The sequence below is a fragment of the Homo sapiens genome, chromosome 1, assembly GCF_000001405.40.
Source record: "Homo sapiens chromosome 1, GRCh38.p14 Primary Assembly".
NCBI lineage: Eukaryota > Metazoa > Chordata > Mammalia > Primates > Hominidae > Homo > Homo sapiens.
The window spans coordinates 64,908,613-64,926,574 of NC_000001.11; the positions used below are offsets into that span (position 1 = coordinate 64,908,613).

General features: G+C 41.0%; 1 protein-coding gene and 1 pseudogene across 11 annotated transcripts in view, besides 1 other annotated feature; one reads left to right on the forward strand and one right to left on the reverse strand.

Annotated features, from left to right (window-relative positions):
- Nucleotides 1-17,962, reverse strand: part of JAK1 (Janus kinase 1) — a 234,518-nt gene that overhangs the window by 75,384 nt on the left and 141,172 nt on the right. The gene's annotated exons all lie outside the window — the stretch shown is intronic.
- Nucleotides 7,294-7,588: an enhancer, noted in NCBI's record as "tiled region #6411; HepG2 Activating DNase unmatched - State 1:Tss". NCBI's record gives its function as "activates a minimal TATA promoter and a strong SV40 promoter by Sharpr-MPRA in HepG2 cells {active_cell/tissue: HepG2}" and the evidence as "EXISTENCE:reporter gene assay evidence [ECO:0000049][PMID:27701403]".
- On the forward strand, nucleotides 9,757-10,229 carry LOC100130270 (cytochrome c oxidase associated subunit FA4 pseudogene; annotated as a pseudogene).

Sequence of the window (17,962 nt, forward strand, 5' to 3'; positions counted from 1 at the left end):
TTACTAGTAAAATAGTATTTGAATAATCTTAATCAGATATTCAAATTGCTGTATTTCAAGCTTGTTAAAATGGAAGCATATGCCCACAATTTTTAGAATATACTGTGTGTATGTTCATGGCAAACATACACACACACACACACACCCCTTGTTAAAATAAAGATTCAGTGTACACTGTATTTATGAATATAACCTCTATGCATAGGAGAAACTGTATAATTAGAGGCAGTCTTTCTCCAGCCCAGAAAGCAAGCGAATACTAAATTCCCAGGCCAGGTCCCAGGTCTCAGAAAGCTCTATCATCAAAAAGCCCAGACCCAAGAAAACACTACTGGCAATATAACAGACACAGATAAGTGGTTGCTGAGTGAAAGAATGAATGAATGAATGAACGAACGAACGAGCTAATTACAAAAAGACAGAAGAACTGAGATTCTACTGCTACTGCTATCTAGCATTATGCTAGCTATCCGCCACATTTTTATTTCTCCTTCCTACCAAACTATCTGGATGCAACGTAAGGCATTCCAATCAGATGTGATGTTTTCTTTTGTCTCCAAATTACTGCTTGGTATTTAATGGTGTATCTCTTTTCCTAGTTTTCGGGAAGCTTGTTAGCAGCAGTTGCTGCTCACAAGAGCTGCTGACAGGGAAGCTGGCACGTGCACCCCATCTGGGCCGTGGTGAAAGAGGGGCTCAGAGGCAAGCACAGCTGAAAGCAGGTGGGGGCGAAATAGCGTTTAGTAGAGGGGAGCAGATGATGTGGAAAGGAAACTAGCTTGTGATCAAAGGTTTTAGGATGGAGGGGAGAAGAGGACAAGACAAGGAAAAAAGGATAGCTGGGAAAAATGACAAAGAAACAGAAAGAGATGGAGGGAGAGACAGTGTCACAAGAATTATTCAGAGAAAAGAAAACAGATCTTCTAGGCCAGGCACAGTGGCTCCCGCTTGTAATCCCAGCACTTTGGAAGGATGAGGCAAGAGGATCTCTTGAGGCCAGGAGTTCAAGACCAGCCTAGGCAACATAGTGAAACCCCCTCTCTCCAAAAAAAAAAAAAAAATTTAGCCAGGTGTGGTGGCACATGCCTGTAGTCCCAGCTACTTGGGAGGCTGAAGTGGGAGGATCACCTGAGCCTGGGAGGTCGAGGCTGCAATGAGCTGTGACAGCACCTCTGCACTCCAGCCTGGACAACAGTGAGACCATCACACAAAAAAATAAGACAGGGTCTCAAAAAAATAAGACAGGCGCTTGCTCTTATTCCCACCTGCATACACTAAGTGTTACCAATCATTTGTCCAAGAGGTTAATAGGCAACATATGGAGGTAATTTGCTCTCTTTAGCCCTGTTCTGGTGGGAGGTGACCTCCTCAGTGGGATGGTAGACCAGAGTATATTCTTTATTGACTCTCAGGCAGTATAGGTCTCTGTACCACAAAAGCTTGTGCCTTCTAAATTTCAAACAATTTCATGAAAATAATGTTGAAACTATGATACCATCTTTATATTCGTTATTTATTTAATCTTTAACTTAACCCACAAGATTCCAAGGCAGTTTATAAGAACACATTGAATAAAACAGAAATACGTATTTTTAAAATCCAGGACTAAGGAGATTGTAATACGGGACAAAAAGTCAAGGCTAGTGGAAAGTTATTTGTAGTCTACTGCTTTCCACATAGACATTAAGGATGGGCTACGAATTTGGCTTTGAGTTTCCTAGGGGTCAAAAAAAAAGCAGGGGAGAAACATGATCAAATGCATTGCTCTCGTTGTCAAAAAAGGGAAAAGAAAATGTTATTTGAGGAATGAAAAGTTTTTCTGATGGTAGTTCTTAAATTTCTCCGGGGGAAGAGGGAGATTTGAAATTTCATCTAGAGCTTTTGTGGTCTTCCCAATTACTTTGAAGAGTTAACGCTGTACTTAGAAATATCAACATATGGCCAGGTGTGGTGGCTCACGCCTGGAATCCCAGCACTTTGGGAGGCTAAGGCGGGCTGATCACTTGAGGTCAGGAGTTCGTGACCAGCCTGGCCAACATGGCGAAACCTTGTCTCTACTGAAAATACAAAAATTAGCCAGGCATGGTGGCGAGCGCCTGTAGTCCCAGCTACTGAGATTACAGTAGGAGACTGACGCAGGAGAATAGTTTGAACCTGGGAGGCAGAGGTTGCACTGAGTCGAGATTGCGCCACTGCACTCCAGCCTGGATGACAAAGCAAGACTCTGTCTCAAAAAAAAAAAAAAAAAAAATCAACATAGGGCATTTAGATTCCAAAACACCAAGTCAGAACATCAGCAAACAAACTGTACTCTTCATTTTTAGTGTACTTCCACAAAGCCATTTCCCGCTGGGGTTCCTCTGTCCTCTGCCTGCACTTCAAATTTACTTTCTTAAGATGCACCAACCAAAATGGGCAATTAGAATGTTTAAAATGCTAATACCATGATAAACAAGAAAATTATTCAGGAGTGAAAAAAAAAAACAATTATTATCTACTGACCAATGTAGTTGGAGAGATGAAATTCACATAAAATTGAAGAAAACTACCAGAAAGCATCTAAGAAATACTTATTTGGTGAGGGATTTGGGGCCACAGGAATGAGGCCAGAAAACCTTCCTACTTCGAAAGATTAATAGTAAACAATAGATGGGTGTTATGAATACAGGGTGACCATATAATTTATCAGCCAAACTGGGATACCTGAGAGTTAAAGAGTGTGCTATCAATAATTATACCCAACAACAGGTGTAAACTGGGGCTGCCCCAGGCAAACAGAGACATATGGTCACTCTCTGTGTTCATCACAGCTTTACATTCCTATCACATACATGTCCTCATTACACCCCCAACAATATCATGCCGGATAGAGGCCAATAACATTGTCTCCGTTTTACAGATATGTAAATACATGCCAAAAAGATGACTGAAGTAACTAACTCAGGTTTTGCAAAGAGAAGTATCTGAGCTGAGACTCCACGCAGGTCTACTGACTCCTAACCCAATGCCCTTCCATTAAATCATCTAAGTAATGACCTGGACCCAGTCAAGTATCCATGATATGCACCTAGCTAAGTTCTTTCTCCTTTCCAGTAAGAGCAATAAAAGTTGAAAACATTTTCAAATGTCAGGAGAAAATATCTACCTTTCAGTTTTAAATCCAAGCATAGCTAGGTTCATATTTTGATTATTTTACATTTCTAACAGGACTTTGTTCCTGATTTCACAATTTTCTGTTATTTCATTTCAAATGATCTAAATATAGGCAAGGATCCTAGACAACAACAACACAGATTCATGACAGGCTTAAATTCAAAACTCTCATAAAATTTAATTCCATTAATTCAGGCTCTCCAATAATCTTCCTCTGTTTTCTGACCCCTATGTCATCATCTGCCTTACATTAAATAGCAAATGATCAGGAAATGCTTTACAGAATTATTAGGTAATAAATGGTCACTCCATCGAGTAATTCTCAAACCCAGCTGTGTATCAGAATTACCTGGGAGCTTTTTAAAAATATATGAATTCCAATCCTTACCCTACATCCATCAGGGTCTCCGAGGCTGGAACCCAGAGTAGACAATTTTTTGAACTCTCCAGGTGATTCTGAGGCCCATCTGTTCTAATGTCAATCCAAATCTGACCCACCCAAGATTTCCAAGGTAGACACAGCTAGCCCCTGACTCACTAGCAACCACAGTTATGTCATTCTACTCTCTCCTTTGCAACCCACACATGATTTCTTCTTACTGATTTTCTTTTTCCATCCTCTACAGTGCAGTAGCATCCTGCATTGACAGGCAGTTAAGGGCATACACATTGCAATCAGAAAGCTGTGGGGCAGATCCTAGTCACTCCTTTCAAGACCATAACCAACGTCTTCTAAACTAGTCTATGTCAAAAGATAGTAATGGTCACGATCATAACACCAATAATAAAAGCTGATATTTGCTAAGCACTTACTATGCCACTAACAATGCTAATCACTCTACATGAATGATCTCAATTGCCACATTAACCCTGTAAAGCAGGACTACTCTCATCCCCATTTTACATTCCGGGAGAACTTTGCCAAGGTCATACTGCTGGGAAGCGGCAGAACAACAAAAAAAGGTCCATTTCTGAAAGGTAAACCACTTCTTGTAAAAGTACTTCTAAAAGGAATCAGCAGTCCTTCTGGAACATGAAACATTTAGGCTTTGAAGATGCATCAAAGGTAATTTTTTCCAGTGTGTGATTTGGGGCTTTGCTGATTGGCTGGCTGGAAAGAAACTGGATTCAATGTTTCAAATGCAACCTCATACCCCAAATATTTATTACTCTCTAGCTGTTCCACTGGATAAGGTAAAATGAGCTTCCACTTAGATCTGTTTAATTGGTAGGGTGGCCATATACATATAAAAATTATATATAAGTTTTTTTGAGACAGGTCTCACTCTGTCACCCAAGCTGGAGTGCAGTGGCACAATCTTGGCTCACTGCAATCTTGGCCTCCCAGGCTCAATGCTGAATCCTCCCACCTCAACGTCCAGAATAGCCGAGACTACAGGCGTGCACACCATCACGCCTGGCTAATTTTTCTATTTTTTTGTAGAGACAGGGTCTCGCCTTATTGCCCAGGCTGGGGTGTCCATATAATTTACTGTACCAACTAGGAGATATTAAAACATCAGGAACTATTCATAACTATGCTGGGAAAATAGGAATAGGCATATACTGGAACATATGACCACCCTACTGACAGCAGAATTCAAAGACAATAAATGGCAAGTGAACTGCCATGGACTCACTCAACACCATGGCTCAATTTCACTCAATAAATAATTTTTGTGTGCCTACAATGTGCCAGCCTCTGTGCTAGAAATTGGTCATACAATGATAATAATTCCTATGAACCAGACACTAATAGAACTGACTAATCATTCAATAGTTACAACATGATAAGCTTCGTATTAAGGAGAAAAATCAAACTGCAGAATAATACATATGGCAAGATTCCATTTGGGAGGGAGGGAGGGAGGAAGGGAGGAAGGAAGGAAAGAAGGAAGGAAGGAAGGAAGGAAGGAAGGAAGGAAGGAAGGAAGGAAAGAAGGGAGGGAGGGAGGGAGGGAGGGAGGGAGGAATTGAAAGGAAGTGTGTGGGAGCAAAAATAATCTTCTAACTCCATATAAGGGTGGATCAGACGAGGTTTCACAGAGAATGTCCTGGGGCTGGGATTTGCAGAAAAATAGATATTAAATAACAGAAATAGGTGGGACTGGAGATAGCACATTTCTGGCAGAAATAAGAGCACAAGTTTGAGAGCATGTAGTGGTCCTTTCACAAAGTGCACATTGGTGCACTGGAGGGTGCGTTGGGGGGTGAGTGGCCAGACATGGGGCTACAGCAGTGGACAGAGGCAGGCGTGGTCAACCCTCTAGACCATGCTGAGTAGCCAAGACTCTACAATGCAGGTTAGAGGAGGCCAGTGATTGTTGATTTTGAGAAAGACCAATGTCAGGTCATTTTGAGAGCAGCTGACAGAAGGCAGAGACCAGCAGTTTGGAAGCAACTGCAATGGTCCAAATAAAAGATGATGTTGAACCAAACACTATGAATCCCCTACCTCAGACAAGGGGCCAGGCACTAGGGATTCAAAAATAAACACGATCTACTCGCTGCCTTATGGAAAGTGAGGTTAAATGAAGAGGGAACAATTTTAATATAAGAGAATGACCATAGATGCTTCAAATAAAAGGTTTAAGTTAAACAATGGAATGCTTCTGACTCTAAACACTTTGAGAACTGCTAAAGAAAAAGCTAACACAAAGTTTAGAGGTTGTAAAGTCCCAAAACAACGAAATAAACAGCTGAGGAGAAAAGAACCTTTCTGAGACAGAACTATCCAAGGCTGACCTCTTTTATTAAGTGGTTGTAAGGATAACTGGGAAGTATCTGGGCAAATACATGGTTTTGTTTTGTTTTTTTGAGACAGAGTCTCATCTGTCACCCAGGCTGGAGCGCAGTGGCGTGATCTCAGCTCACTGCAACCTCTGCCTCTGGGGTTCAAGTGATTCTCCTGCCTCAGTCTCCTGAGTAGCTGGGATTACAGGTGTGCACCACCATGCCCGGCTAATTTTTGTATTTTTAGTAGAGATGGGGTTTCACCATGTTGGCCAGGCTGGTCTTGAACTCCTGACCTCAAGTGATCCACCCATCTCTGCCTCCCAAAGTGCTAGGATTACAGGCATGAGCCACTGTGCCCAGCCAAACACATGGTATTTAAAACACAACTATAACTATAGTATTGCAACTTGGGGAACGTGTGATGGGTGGGTCTTTCCTCAATACAAGATAAGGCACAACACTATTTAATAAAAAAAGCTCTCTGATTTTTTAAGTCTGATCCAACTTCAAATCCCACTTACTAGCTATGTGACCTTGAGTCAATTATTTTACCTGCCTCTCTTCACTATAAAATGAGAATAACCACATATATACCTTATAGGATTGTGAAGGTAAATGAGGCAGGATTCCCAGCTAAAATGGCAGATTGAACAGAAATACCCAATTTCACTCCCTTCTGAAACTCCACTAAAATATAGTACATATTTTTAAAATATATAAAGTAGTATAATAAATACAGCATGGCTTTTCTGTTTAAGACCAAATTCACAAATATGTAAGGGGAAAAGAAGAGGAGAAAACTACAACTTTGGAAACTGGAAAGTAGTTGGATATGTAAAAAAAAAATTGACTTCGATAATCCACAAATACTGAATCCCAAGCTGACAATGGCAAAAGCTGATAACCAAATTAACGTATACCACAGAAGTCTCCAAAGTCACAGGAACTGGAAGGAAGCACCAGTAACTGGGGTGAAGAAAGAGGGCCAGAGAAAGGTGTTTGAGAAAAAGAATCCCGTTGGCCACTCCTCTGCCCCAGCAAAAGTCTAGACCAGCACTGTCCAGTAAAATGGTCCACAATAATGGAAACGTTTTGTATCTGTGCTGTGTCCAGTACGGCAGCCAGTCACATGTGGCTACCAGGCATTTAAAAGATGGCTACTGTAACTGAGAAACCGATTTCTTAATTTTATTAAATGTTAATTTAAATTTAAGTGGCTACCATGTGGCTAGTGACTATTTTATTATAAGGAAACACATATCTAGAGGTTTAGTTTCTGGAAAGGATAAGACAAAGGGTCCTGTAACTAGAGATGTCAGGTGAAGCATGGGAACCTCTGGGCACGCAGAAAGACGGCATCTGCACACATGCTGAGTGCTGGGGGCCAGGATGCTACAGCCTTCACCCTCTTCCCTGCAGCTCCAGAAATGCTGGCAGCCAGTCCCTAGCCCTCCAGGTGAGAGACTGGAATACTGTCTTCTGAGGAATGTGACCATCTCACCAGGACTGACCTAAAGACACAGAGGCTGGGAGTTCCCCAATGAATGGCTCACTCTTAGTGACGTTCAAAGTTCACAAGCCCGAGGCACATGCTCAGCCTTCCTCCAAGTTTAATCATAAACAAACAGCCAAGGTAAACATATGTCTGAGGAAAGCCTCTAATGCAGACATGGAGATAGAAAAAAGCAACTCAGAGAAAACATTACACAGAGAGAAAACTTTAAAAATTAATGTCTTCAGAAAGATAAAAGAATACCTTTTATTTGTGAATCAAGAATAAAATGTTTCTTTTTTAAAGTAACATTTCAGAGAAAAAAGGAGCTCTCGAATATTAAAAAGATAATAACAGAAATGAAAACACAGCTGGGAAAGGGCCCTACGGAACTTCTAGGTTGATAGAAATGTTCTATATTTTGTTTAGGGTGGTAACTGCACAAGCCTATATGATTGTCAAAACAGCCAAAGGAACACTTAGCATTGATAAGCTTTGCTGTAGGTAAATAATATCTTAATTTTCAAAAGCTAAAAAGGTTGGAAGATAATGTTTAGGAAAAGGCCAGGCGCAGTGGCTCATGACTATAATCCCAGCATTTTGGGAGGCTGAGGCAGGGGGATCTCTTGAGGTCTGGAGTTCAAGATCACCCTGACCAACATAGTGAAACCCTGTCTCTGCTAAAAATACAAAAATTAGCCAGGTGTGGTGGCATGCATCTGTAGTCCCAGCTACTGAGGAGGCTGAGGTGGGAGAATCGCTTGAACCGGGAGGCAGAGGTTGCAGTGAGCCGAGATTCTGCCGCTGAACTCCATCCAGCCTGGGTGACAGAGTGAGACCCTTTCTCAAAAAAAAAAAAAAAAGTTTAGGAAATAGGTTAGAAAAGAACAGTTTGAAAATAGGAGAAAAGAGATAAGAAAATTAAAGGGGGCAATCCAGACAGTCACATGTCTGAATTCCTAAAGAAAAGACAAAGAAAGTGGAGGGGAGAAAATCATCAGCAAAACCATTTGAGAAAGATTTCCCAGAACCAAAGGCTACCAGTTGCCAGGTTGGAAAGGCCCATCAAAACAATGGAGAAAAAGACCTGTTTGGGGCATTCCTGGGAAATTTCATAACATTGGAAACAAGGGTCTATAAAGCTTCCAAAAGAGAATAAAACAGGCTACATTCAAAAGATCAAAAATTGAGAATATTCTCAGGCTTTTTAACAGCTGCACCAAGGAAAGAGACAGGCACCCAATGCCTGCAAAATTCTGAAGGGAAACAACTTCCAACCCAGAAGTCTATAACCAGCCAAATTATCAACGAAGTATGAAGGAAGAATCAAGATACAGTTAGACATCAAAGATCTCAAAAAACAAACTGCTATGCATCCTTCTGAAAATAACAGGAGACAGGCTCCAACACAGGAAATAAAGATTAAACAAAGAGGAAGTGAAGGGAACTCCCAGGAGCACAGAACAGAGCGGTCTCAACACAAAAGCTGTGGCCAGCCTCAGAGGATGACCAATCCCCATGTGAGCAGGGCAACTTGAGGGATACTTATGTTGAGGGCAGTCACTGCCAAGATCCCCGTAGACTGCATTGAGGGTAGAATGCCTGGGTGAGCCTGGACCAAATTCCTAATGGAATTTGGTTTTTCTTAATCATGCACTGATGAAATTCCTGTTCCCCTGCTGTGTCCTGCTGCCTGAATCAGCAGAAGACTATTTCACCCCGCAGAAGTATTCCATTTGGCCTATTCCTGAGAGCTGGACATAAGCCAGGGTGGAGCAGCACATTCCTCTTGACTCCACTCCTCCCAGGCTCCCAACAGCTGGGCCCACTGCAGTCTTCTAGGTACCTCCAACTATGAGAAGCCCTGTTTCCCACAACTCATTCATGATCTTTTCCACTGACTTTCCCAAAAGGGTCCCTGCAACCTCTCAACTCTGGATCCAGACTTGACCCAGAGTTTCTGTTCAGACACAGGGGTAATGAATTCAACCAGAGACCATGAAGCTCTTCTCCTGGGAGCCTTCATCTAGAGATGGCATCACTGCCCTTTCCTTATACACCTAGGTTTATGCTTGCTCTGGGGACATATACACTGGTAGAAAGGGCATGATTAATACCAAAGTGGGGGTGACTGTTACCTCTGAGGGAAGTGCAGTGGAGGGGACTACCAGGTGATTTCTAAGATACCAGTAATGTTCTCTTTCTTAACCTGAATGGTGGATACATAGGTATTTTTCTCTAACTATACACATACTGTTTACATAGTCTTCTCTATGTTGATACATTTTTCAATTTAAAAAGTTCCCTCCATAGAAAATTAAATATATTTAGAGACCCTAAGTAGATACTCATTAATTTTCAATTACTTTATTCTGAGATACTACTTAGTCAAGGGCCTGGCAGCTAAGCTAGTTCTCTCCTTTTAAATCAGATGCCCTTGCTGAAAACATGCTCCACCAGGTCCTTGGTCAGGCCAAGGAACTGAGTTTGATCCCCCTCTTTGTATTTAATGGAGCTAGAGGTACCAGAGCAGCACTGTATGTCTTGCATCTGGCATTTCAATCCAGATGTTAGTTGGGCCAGAAAGAATGACCCAGGGCCCTGGAATAAACTGGGTTCCAATGAGCAATACAAGTTCTACTCAGTGAATGTGGATTACAGTAAACTGAAGAAAGATGGTCCAGATTTCTAAATGAAATGTTTCACTATAAAGCTGCTTAGAATGAAGATCTTCCAGAAGCTAGCTGCACTATTTTCCACTTAACTAGGAAATATTTCTCCTTTAGATACATGAAATCATGTTGATATAATGTGTTGGAGATTACATTAACAAATAACTGAAACTTGAAAAAAAATCAATTACCTTATCCTCTCCAGTAATCAAATACTACGCTTCTTTAAAGACCATCTTGAATGGCAGCAACTTTTTTTTCGAAGAAGAAAAATTTATAAGTATCTCATAAACAATTCTCATATTGATTACATGTTGAAATAGGATATTAATTTCACCTGGCTCCTTTTACCTTTTTTTTTATTATTATACTTTAAGTTCTAGGGTACATGTGCACAACGTGCAGGTTTGTTACATAGGTATATATGTGCCATGTTGGTGTGCTGCACCTGTTAACTTGTCATTTACATTAAGTATATCTCCTAACGCTATCCCTCCCCACTTCCCCCACCCCACAACAGGCCCTGGTGTGTGATGTTGCTCTTCCTGTGTCCAAGTGTTCTCATTGTTCAATTCCCACCTATGAGTCAGAACATGCGGTGTTTGGTTTTTTGTCCTTGCGACAGTTTGCTGAGAGTGACGGTTTCCAGCTTCATCCATGTCCCTACAAAGGACATGAACTCATCGTTTTTTATGGTTGCATAGTATTCCATGGTGTATATGTGCCACAGTTTCTTAATCCAGTCTATCATTGATGGACATTTGGGTTGGTTCCAAGTCTTTGCTATTGTGAATAGTGCCGCTATAAACATACGTGTGCATGTGTCTTTATAGCAGCATGATTTATATTCCTTTGGGTATATACCCAGTAATGGGATGGCTGGGTCAAATGATATTTCTAGTTCTAGATCCCTGAGGAATCGCCACACTGTCTTCCACAATGGTTGAACTAGTTTAGTCTCACCAACAGTGTAAAAGTGTTCCTATTTCTCCACATCATCTTTCTAAAATTCTACCTAGGCAATAATCCCCTGGACTTTCATCATTTGCCAATTTGTGCCATTATTTACTTGTAATATATGTCTCCTTAGCTAGGTTGAAAACAGAAATGAACAAAAGCATGACTTTTCCTAATGAGTCTTTCAAGTAGCTACTATAAAAACAATAATGGTCCTAAGTCAAATGGGGTGGGGCCTGACGGACACCCTAGATCCTCTCAGGACAGAGTCGGGTTCTTGGATGAGGTCCTTCCATCACTTAGTGCCTTCTCACCTCCAGCACCTGCTAAGCACAGGGCCTGGCACAGAGTAAGAACTCAAATGTTTCTCAATAAATAATAAACGACATCAAAAGAAAAAAGTGCTAAGAATCAAGTGACAAATATGACCCAAGTAATTAATGAAAAAGTAGCTCCCTATTGAAAGTTAAAAATCACTATGATCATTTCTGGTTAAAGAATCAAACAAAATTTTTAAGCATAAAGAGGAGATGTAGTATTAAGGATAATCCTTGAAAAGTATTTCCAAATCTGAAATTGACGGAAACAGGGAAAAGTGGCTTACACAAAATGAACTGTAATTTAAATGGAATAAACAGGACAAGTGTGGTGGCACATGTGTCATCCTAGCACTTTGGGAGGCCAAGGCAGGTGGATCACTTGAGCCCAGGAATTCAAGACCAGCCTGGGCAACATGGCGAGACCTCATCTCTACATAAAACATAAAAATTAGCTGGGTGTGGTGGCACATACCTGTAGTCCCAGCTACTTGGGAGGCTGAGAACTACACGAGAATTGCTTAAGCCTAGGAAGCAGAGATTGGAAAGAGTCGAGATCATGCCACTGCACTCCTGCCTGGGCGACACAGCAAGACTCTGTCTTAAACTAATCCAAGACTAGACTACACTAGACCAAACTAAAATTAAATTAAATTAAATTAATGCTGGCAGTGGAAAATTTCTCATCCAGCACATATACACTGGAGACAGCATGGTGTGGACTGAATGAGTTCTAACCCTGCCTCTGCCAGAACCTAACCTTGGGCCTTGGATAATTCAAGGAACCCTTCTGGCCCTCAGTTTTCCCCACTGTAAAACAGGCAGGCAGAATAAATGACCATGAAGCTCCCTGAAGGCCAATAGGGTTATAGGAGTCCATATATTCCTGCTTACTGATTCACTGACTGAGTTAAGTATCAAGGCAGTACACAGGAACAGGTCCAGTGCAAAACTGTCCCTAATATCCTACTGATAGAAAAAATAAGAGACACAGTTTCCAATTCAGGTGCTTTTGTACAGTCTAAGTTCTAAAAGCTTTTTATAAATGCTATGCTTTAAGACAGTTAAATGTATCCAGTGACTTTTAACCTGAAAACTGCTAAAGCCAAGGAAAATAATGTAAGTTGAACTCATGCCCATTTCTATTATAATTCCATTTTTCAGAGTAACTCATAAGCGTGCATGACTCACACATCTGAATATGATGAGATGTTCCTTTATCATTTCATCTTCTATGCCAGTAATCCCACATTACAGAGTGCCAAACCCCTTTAATAAGTGTAGCATATGTTTCTACCACACTCCAAAATCCAGCACAAGACTGCTGCATTAGGGAAAAAATCTAAGTGAGGATTTCTGGGCTTTCGATCATAGGACCCCAAGTTAGTTGTCAAAAATATGACTCCCTCGCCTCTCCCTTTCTGCACAGCCACCTAGACTACTGATAACTGAAAGCATAACAACTATCCTTCAGGCTCATACAGACATTTAGACAGCCCTTTGAAGTGTACAAAGCACTTTCACATCTATTAACTTAACTGATTTCCAGTGACCTACTAGAGTATATAGTAGGTCACTGGAAATCATTTTACAGATAAAGAAACAGAGATTCAGAGAATTTAAGTGCCTTGCATAAGGCTATGCAGCTAGCAAGTGGCTGAACTGAGACAAGCACTCAGCTCATCTAAAACCAAAAACTGAGCTCTTCTCACCAAACTGATGTGTAACCTAGGGATAAGAAAATAAGTGGTTGAAATAAAACCTCTTAGAAATTGTTGTGATTATACTATTGGGAGTGGATCAACCTTTTATAAACAAGGCAGCTTCTCTATTCCCTTCTTAGTCCCTTTGTACAGTGAGTTTCTAGAGTGAGATGGCTTACCCATTTGGACTTGACTCCAGATATACCTCCTTTCCATTTCCAACCAAGAAGATAATTCTTGAACTCTGTCCTTGTAATATGAAATACCAGCTATAGCATGACTTCAGTCAACAACAGTAAAGAGAGATTAAGTAACTGGCTGCAAATCACAAAGTTGCACAAGCAGAGTAGATCGGCATAGGGACTTCAATCTTCTCCCGACAGATGGACATTTAGACATTCCATCACCCTTCCTGAGACACAGGGCTTGCAGCAGTTCTTTCAGTGACAAAAATTCCCTAAGCAGCCCACAGTGCTATTAGTTTCCTCATTTGATTGTTCTTATGGAAAAAAAAAACCACAACAACAACACTACTAAATGCCCCCCACCCCCCAGTTAGTTACTTGAGAACAACTAATCAGACCATCCCTGTACCCTGTATAAATAAAAACAAGGGTTTTTTTGCATTGACCTGATAATTTCATTGGTAGCTACAACTAACTACACAATAGTTGGAGGTAGAGAGATGCATTCTGTATCTTTACCTTTAATTATACAGTAAGGGCTGGAATCCCCTGTCAGTTCATTCAGCCAAGCTTACAAGAAGTCACAACGTGGGAATTTCCAAAGCCAGTCAAACATCAGGAGTATAAATGTCATGTACCTAGACTTCTCAGTTTATAAACACATTTTTTTTTAAAGCTGACTAGTAACAATATAAAAATATTCCCTCCTGTTCACCACTTCAAACATTTAGTATGATTTAGGTTTTTGGTTAACCATGCTTGTTGAATGCTTTAAGGTGCTAAATTACTAACTGGGCTGGAACTTTCTAACCATACCTCATTTAAATTCAATCATAGATTACATATCAAAAACTTAAATCTCCAAGTCTCGGCCAAATGAGATCTGCTTTATAATCTGAATAGAAAATGGTTGGTAAGTAAACAAGCTAATCATGAACACCATCTCTAGAGCAAAAATATCAAAAAGACCATAAGGAGTGGCTTTGACATCAGTCAAACCTGAGTTTAAATCCTGGCTCTGCCACTTATGAGCTCTGTGTGGTCCTGGACACTTGAGCTTCTAAGCCTTACATTTCTGCATCTCTAGTATCAATTCGCTCTCACCTAACTGTTGTCAAGGACCAACCACAGTGGAAATCATACGTTAGGTACTAAATAAAAAAGATACTTATTAGCTACTATAAAGTAAATTTGGAATACAAGCCAATGTGACTCTGTGGATAATAATAACTTGGAAAGTTGGGGTAGGAAACAATTGCAGGTTCTTTCCATTAACATTCTACTTACTACCCTTCAAGGCCCATCCCAATCCAACCTCCTCCTCCTCCACCACCTAGCTCCATCAATTGCAGCCTACAATGACTGACACGCAACATAATTAGCACTTCATTAAATATTGTATTGTGTTTCTGGGATCACTATTTGCTGGTCCTAACACCTATCTGTTTAAGGATACCTTAAGCAGAAAGGCTCTCTGCGTCTCTAACTTCCAGTCTCACTACCCCTTCATTATTCTAACTCATTATAAACTACACTGAGACCACAAGTGATTACACAATGCCATTTAATTAGAATTGTGCATGCTTGAAAATACAAAAATCACCCTTGGAACAGTTAACAGATAATTTTAGCTTATTAAACACACATTTTTTAACACTCCAAAACCACTTTGGTTCAGATCACATGGGGACATTTCCATTGGTTGCTGTGGTGACTATGTCACAAATTAGAGTCCCTCTGGCTAAGATTCTCAGGCCCAGGGTGCTGTGACTAAACCACTGTAACCACTTCACATCTACTCATACACTCCCATTTTCTAAAACTTCGAAACCACCAGCCAAAAACAACTTTATTCAAACACAGAGTTTAGAATCAAGGCCACACATGCCATGACTTAAAACAAAATGAAGCTTAAACTCTTTCCCCCACAGATTTCTCTGCACTTTGCCAGGTCTTACTGATATGGTTCCAGTGCATCAGACCAACGGTTCCCAACGCCTCCCACCCCGACTCCTGCTGCTTTTTAAAACATTTATGTCATAATGCTCTCCCTTTACTACCCTGAAATGAAAATCAAAAATAATATAAACTATATACAATTTCAACATAATATAATGTCCTAACTATAAATAAAGAATTTAAAGATATCTGTAAGAATATATATTTCAATAGTAATTGCTCTGTCACGAGTACATCAGAAGACATAATGAAGTAGTCTAATACAACAACAGAACAACTCTGAATGCAATAACTATAAATGCAGTCAGATACTTGCATATTATTCTTGATGACACAAATACATGCACACCAACATTGGCAAGTGATTTATAAAAATGGTAAACAGCTTTTGGCAAAGTTACAAACAAAATAGTGTAGTATCTTATATAGTATATCGTATCAATTTACAAAGTAGTGGCATTCCTAGAAAATTAAGGGTATATCAAAACAATGCAAAAAGTCCGTTACATAAAATGGAATTACAGGTTCTAGGTTCAGAAAATTATGAACAGGCTTTTTCCCTGCAAGAATGTCTGGGGAGACATTTGAAAGTCATGCAGGCTATAGAAAAATTCTTCTATCCACAGGACTATTGCTGTGCACATTATAGGATTCCTAGTATTCCTAGCCATGACCTCCTAAATGTCAAAGGTACCCAGCCCGGCATCAAAGAGACAAACAACAAGGGTCCACTGCCCCAGCTGTGCTCTGCTATGAGGCCAAGTAGGGTCTTGTCTTTGTATGTCATGCATCAACCTTAGAACTATGTGTGGCTCCTAAGCAGGTGCTCAGTAAGTCTGAGGAAGTGGGTGGTAGTTCTTCTAAAATTCCTCTGTTTGTTCTGAAGTAACAGAAAAACAGAATCAGTATCTTCAGCAAATTGAAAGATGGCATCTACTGGACAGGACTGTAGAACTGCTGACATTCACTTAAAGCCACAAACACCTTTATAGGATGCTATTTTTCCAACCCCATAATGATGATCTAAAACCAGGACAGCAAATACACATGGTCAGCAGGGGCTGAACAGGCAAAGCACAGAGGATTTTTAGGGCAGTGAAAATACTCTGTGTGATACAATGATGGGTACATGTCATCATACATTTGTCCAAACCCATAGAATGCACAACTCCAAGAGTGGACCCTAATCTAAACTATGGACTTTGGGTGATAATGATGTCAGTGTAGGTTCATCAAGTGCAACAAATGTACCATTCTGGTGGGAAATGTTGGTTATGAGGGAGGTTATGCAAGTGTGAGATCTGTACCTTCCTCTTAATTTTGCTCTAGGCTGGGCGCAGTGGCTCATGCCTGTAATCCCAGCACTTTGGGAGGCTGAGGCGGGCGGATCACCTGAGGTCAAGAGTTCAAGACCAGCCTGACTAACACAGTGAAACACCATCTCTACTAAAAAAAAAAAAAAATACAAAAAGTTAGCAGGGTGTGGTGGCGCACACCTGTAATGCCAGCTACTTAGGAGTCTGAGGCAGAGGAATCGCTTGAACCCAGGAAGTGAGCCAAGATTGCACCATTGCACACCAGCCTGGGAGACAAGAGGGAAACTCTGTCTCAAAAAAAAAAATTTTTGCTCTAAACCTAAAACTGCTTTAAGAAAATAAAGCCTTAAGGAAAAATAAAACAAGAAGAAGAAAACTGTGTATACATCATGGCCTGATGTCCCACAGAGCCTGGGAATGACTTTAAAATCCATCTCAATGTGGCTCCAATGAGTCCTGCCAACTGATTAGGCTTCCTGACCTCAAAAATATGGGAGAAGACAATTAGTCGGTTCAAACTGACTTCCTGTGGGTAACTGGGCCTTCCACACCATGCAATCTAGTAATTCCGACTAACATCATCTGAGCACTTACCATGTTCTTCAGGCACATAGTGTCATGCACTTATTTGACCTTTATATAACAATGAGACATGGTATAAATCCCTACTTTACAGGGAACTAAATGAGGCCCAAACACAAGACCCAAGGTCAAATGCTGTTAAAGCCCAGATTATACAGCCCAGATCTGTCTAGCTCCAAGCCTGTGCCAGTTATTTGCAATCACCTATAAAACCACCTGTCTGGAGGAGTGGGGTCATAAAGCTTCCCACTATAGTGGTACCTCTCCTCTGTATGAACCCAGGAGGTGGGCAGGCTCCTTTAGGTAGATGACAGATAGCATATCAAATAAAAGCCAAAACAAAATTCCTCTCTGCTGCTCAGCCAGAGTCACAGAAAGCTGAGAAGATACCCAAATTAGATCTTTAAACCAAGCTGTGGACCCCAGGACCACACATTCCCTGATGCATAAACTGAAAGCTTCGCAATGGCATCAAGCCCCAGTGAGTGCTGGCTCTAACCTATCTTCACTCCAGTTCCTGCCTCTCTCCTACGGCCAGTGCTATTGTCTCCAGACCCCACTTTCCAACTCTGAGTACACACTAGATCTTTGCTCACCTGATGGTGCAGAGGAAATGCTCCTCCTACCTGCTCCAGTATATGTGACTCCTGCCCATTTTTCCAGACTCAACAGCAGGATCCCCTCCCCCCACCCCCAAGTGGCTCCACACTGCCCAGGTGGAACAAACTGACCCACTTCAGAGCCATCGCAGCACTGTTCATGCACACACTTTCCTCAGGGCCCTTACCCCTGTCCTCCTTACATTAACGATTATCAGTATACACGGCCCTTCCCTAGAGGGTTACTTCCTAATGCACCCCTGTATTTTCCTACAATGCTGACCACAACCA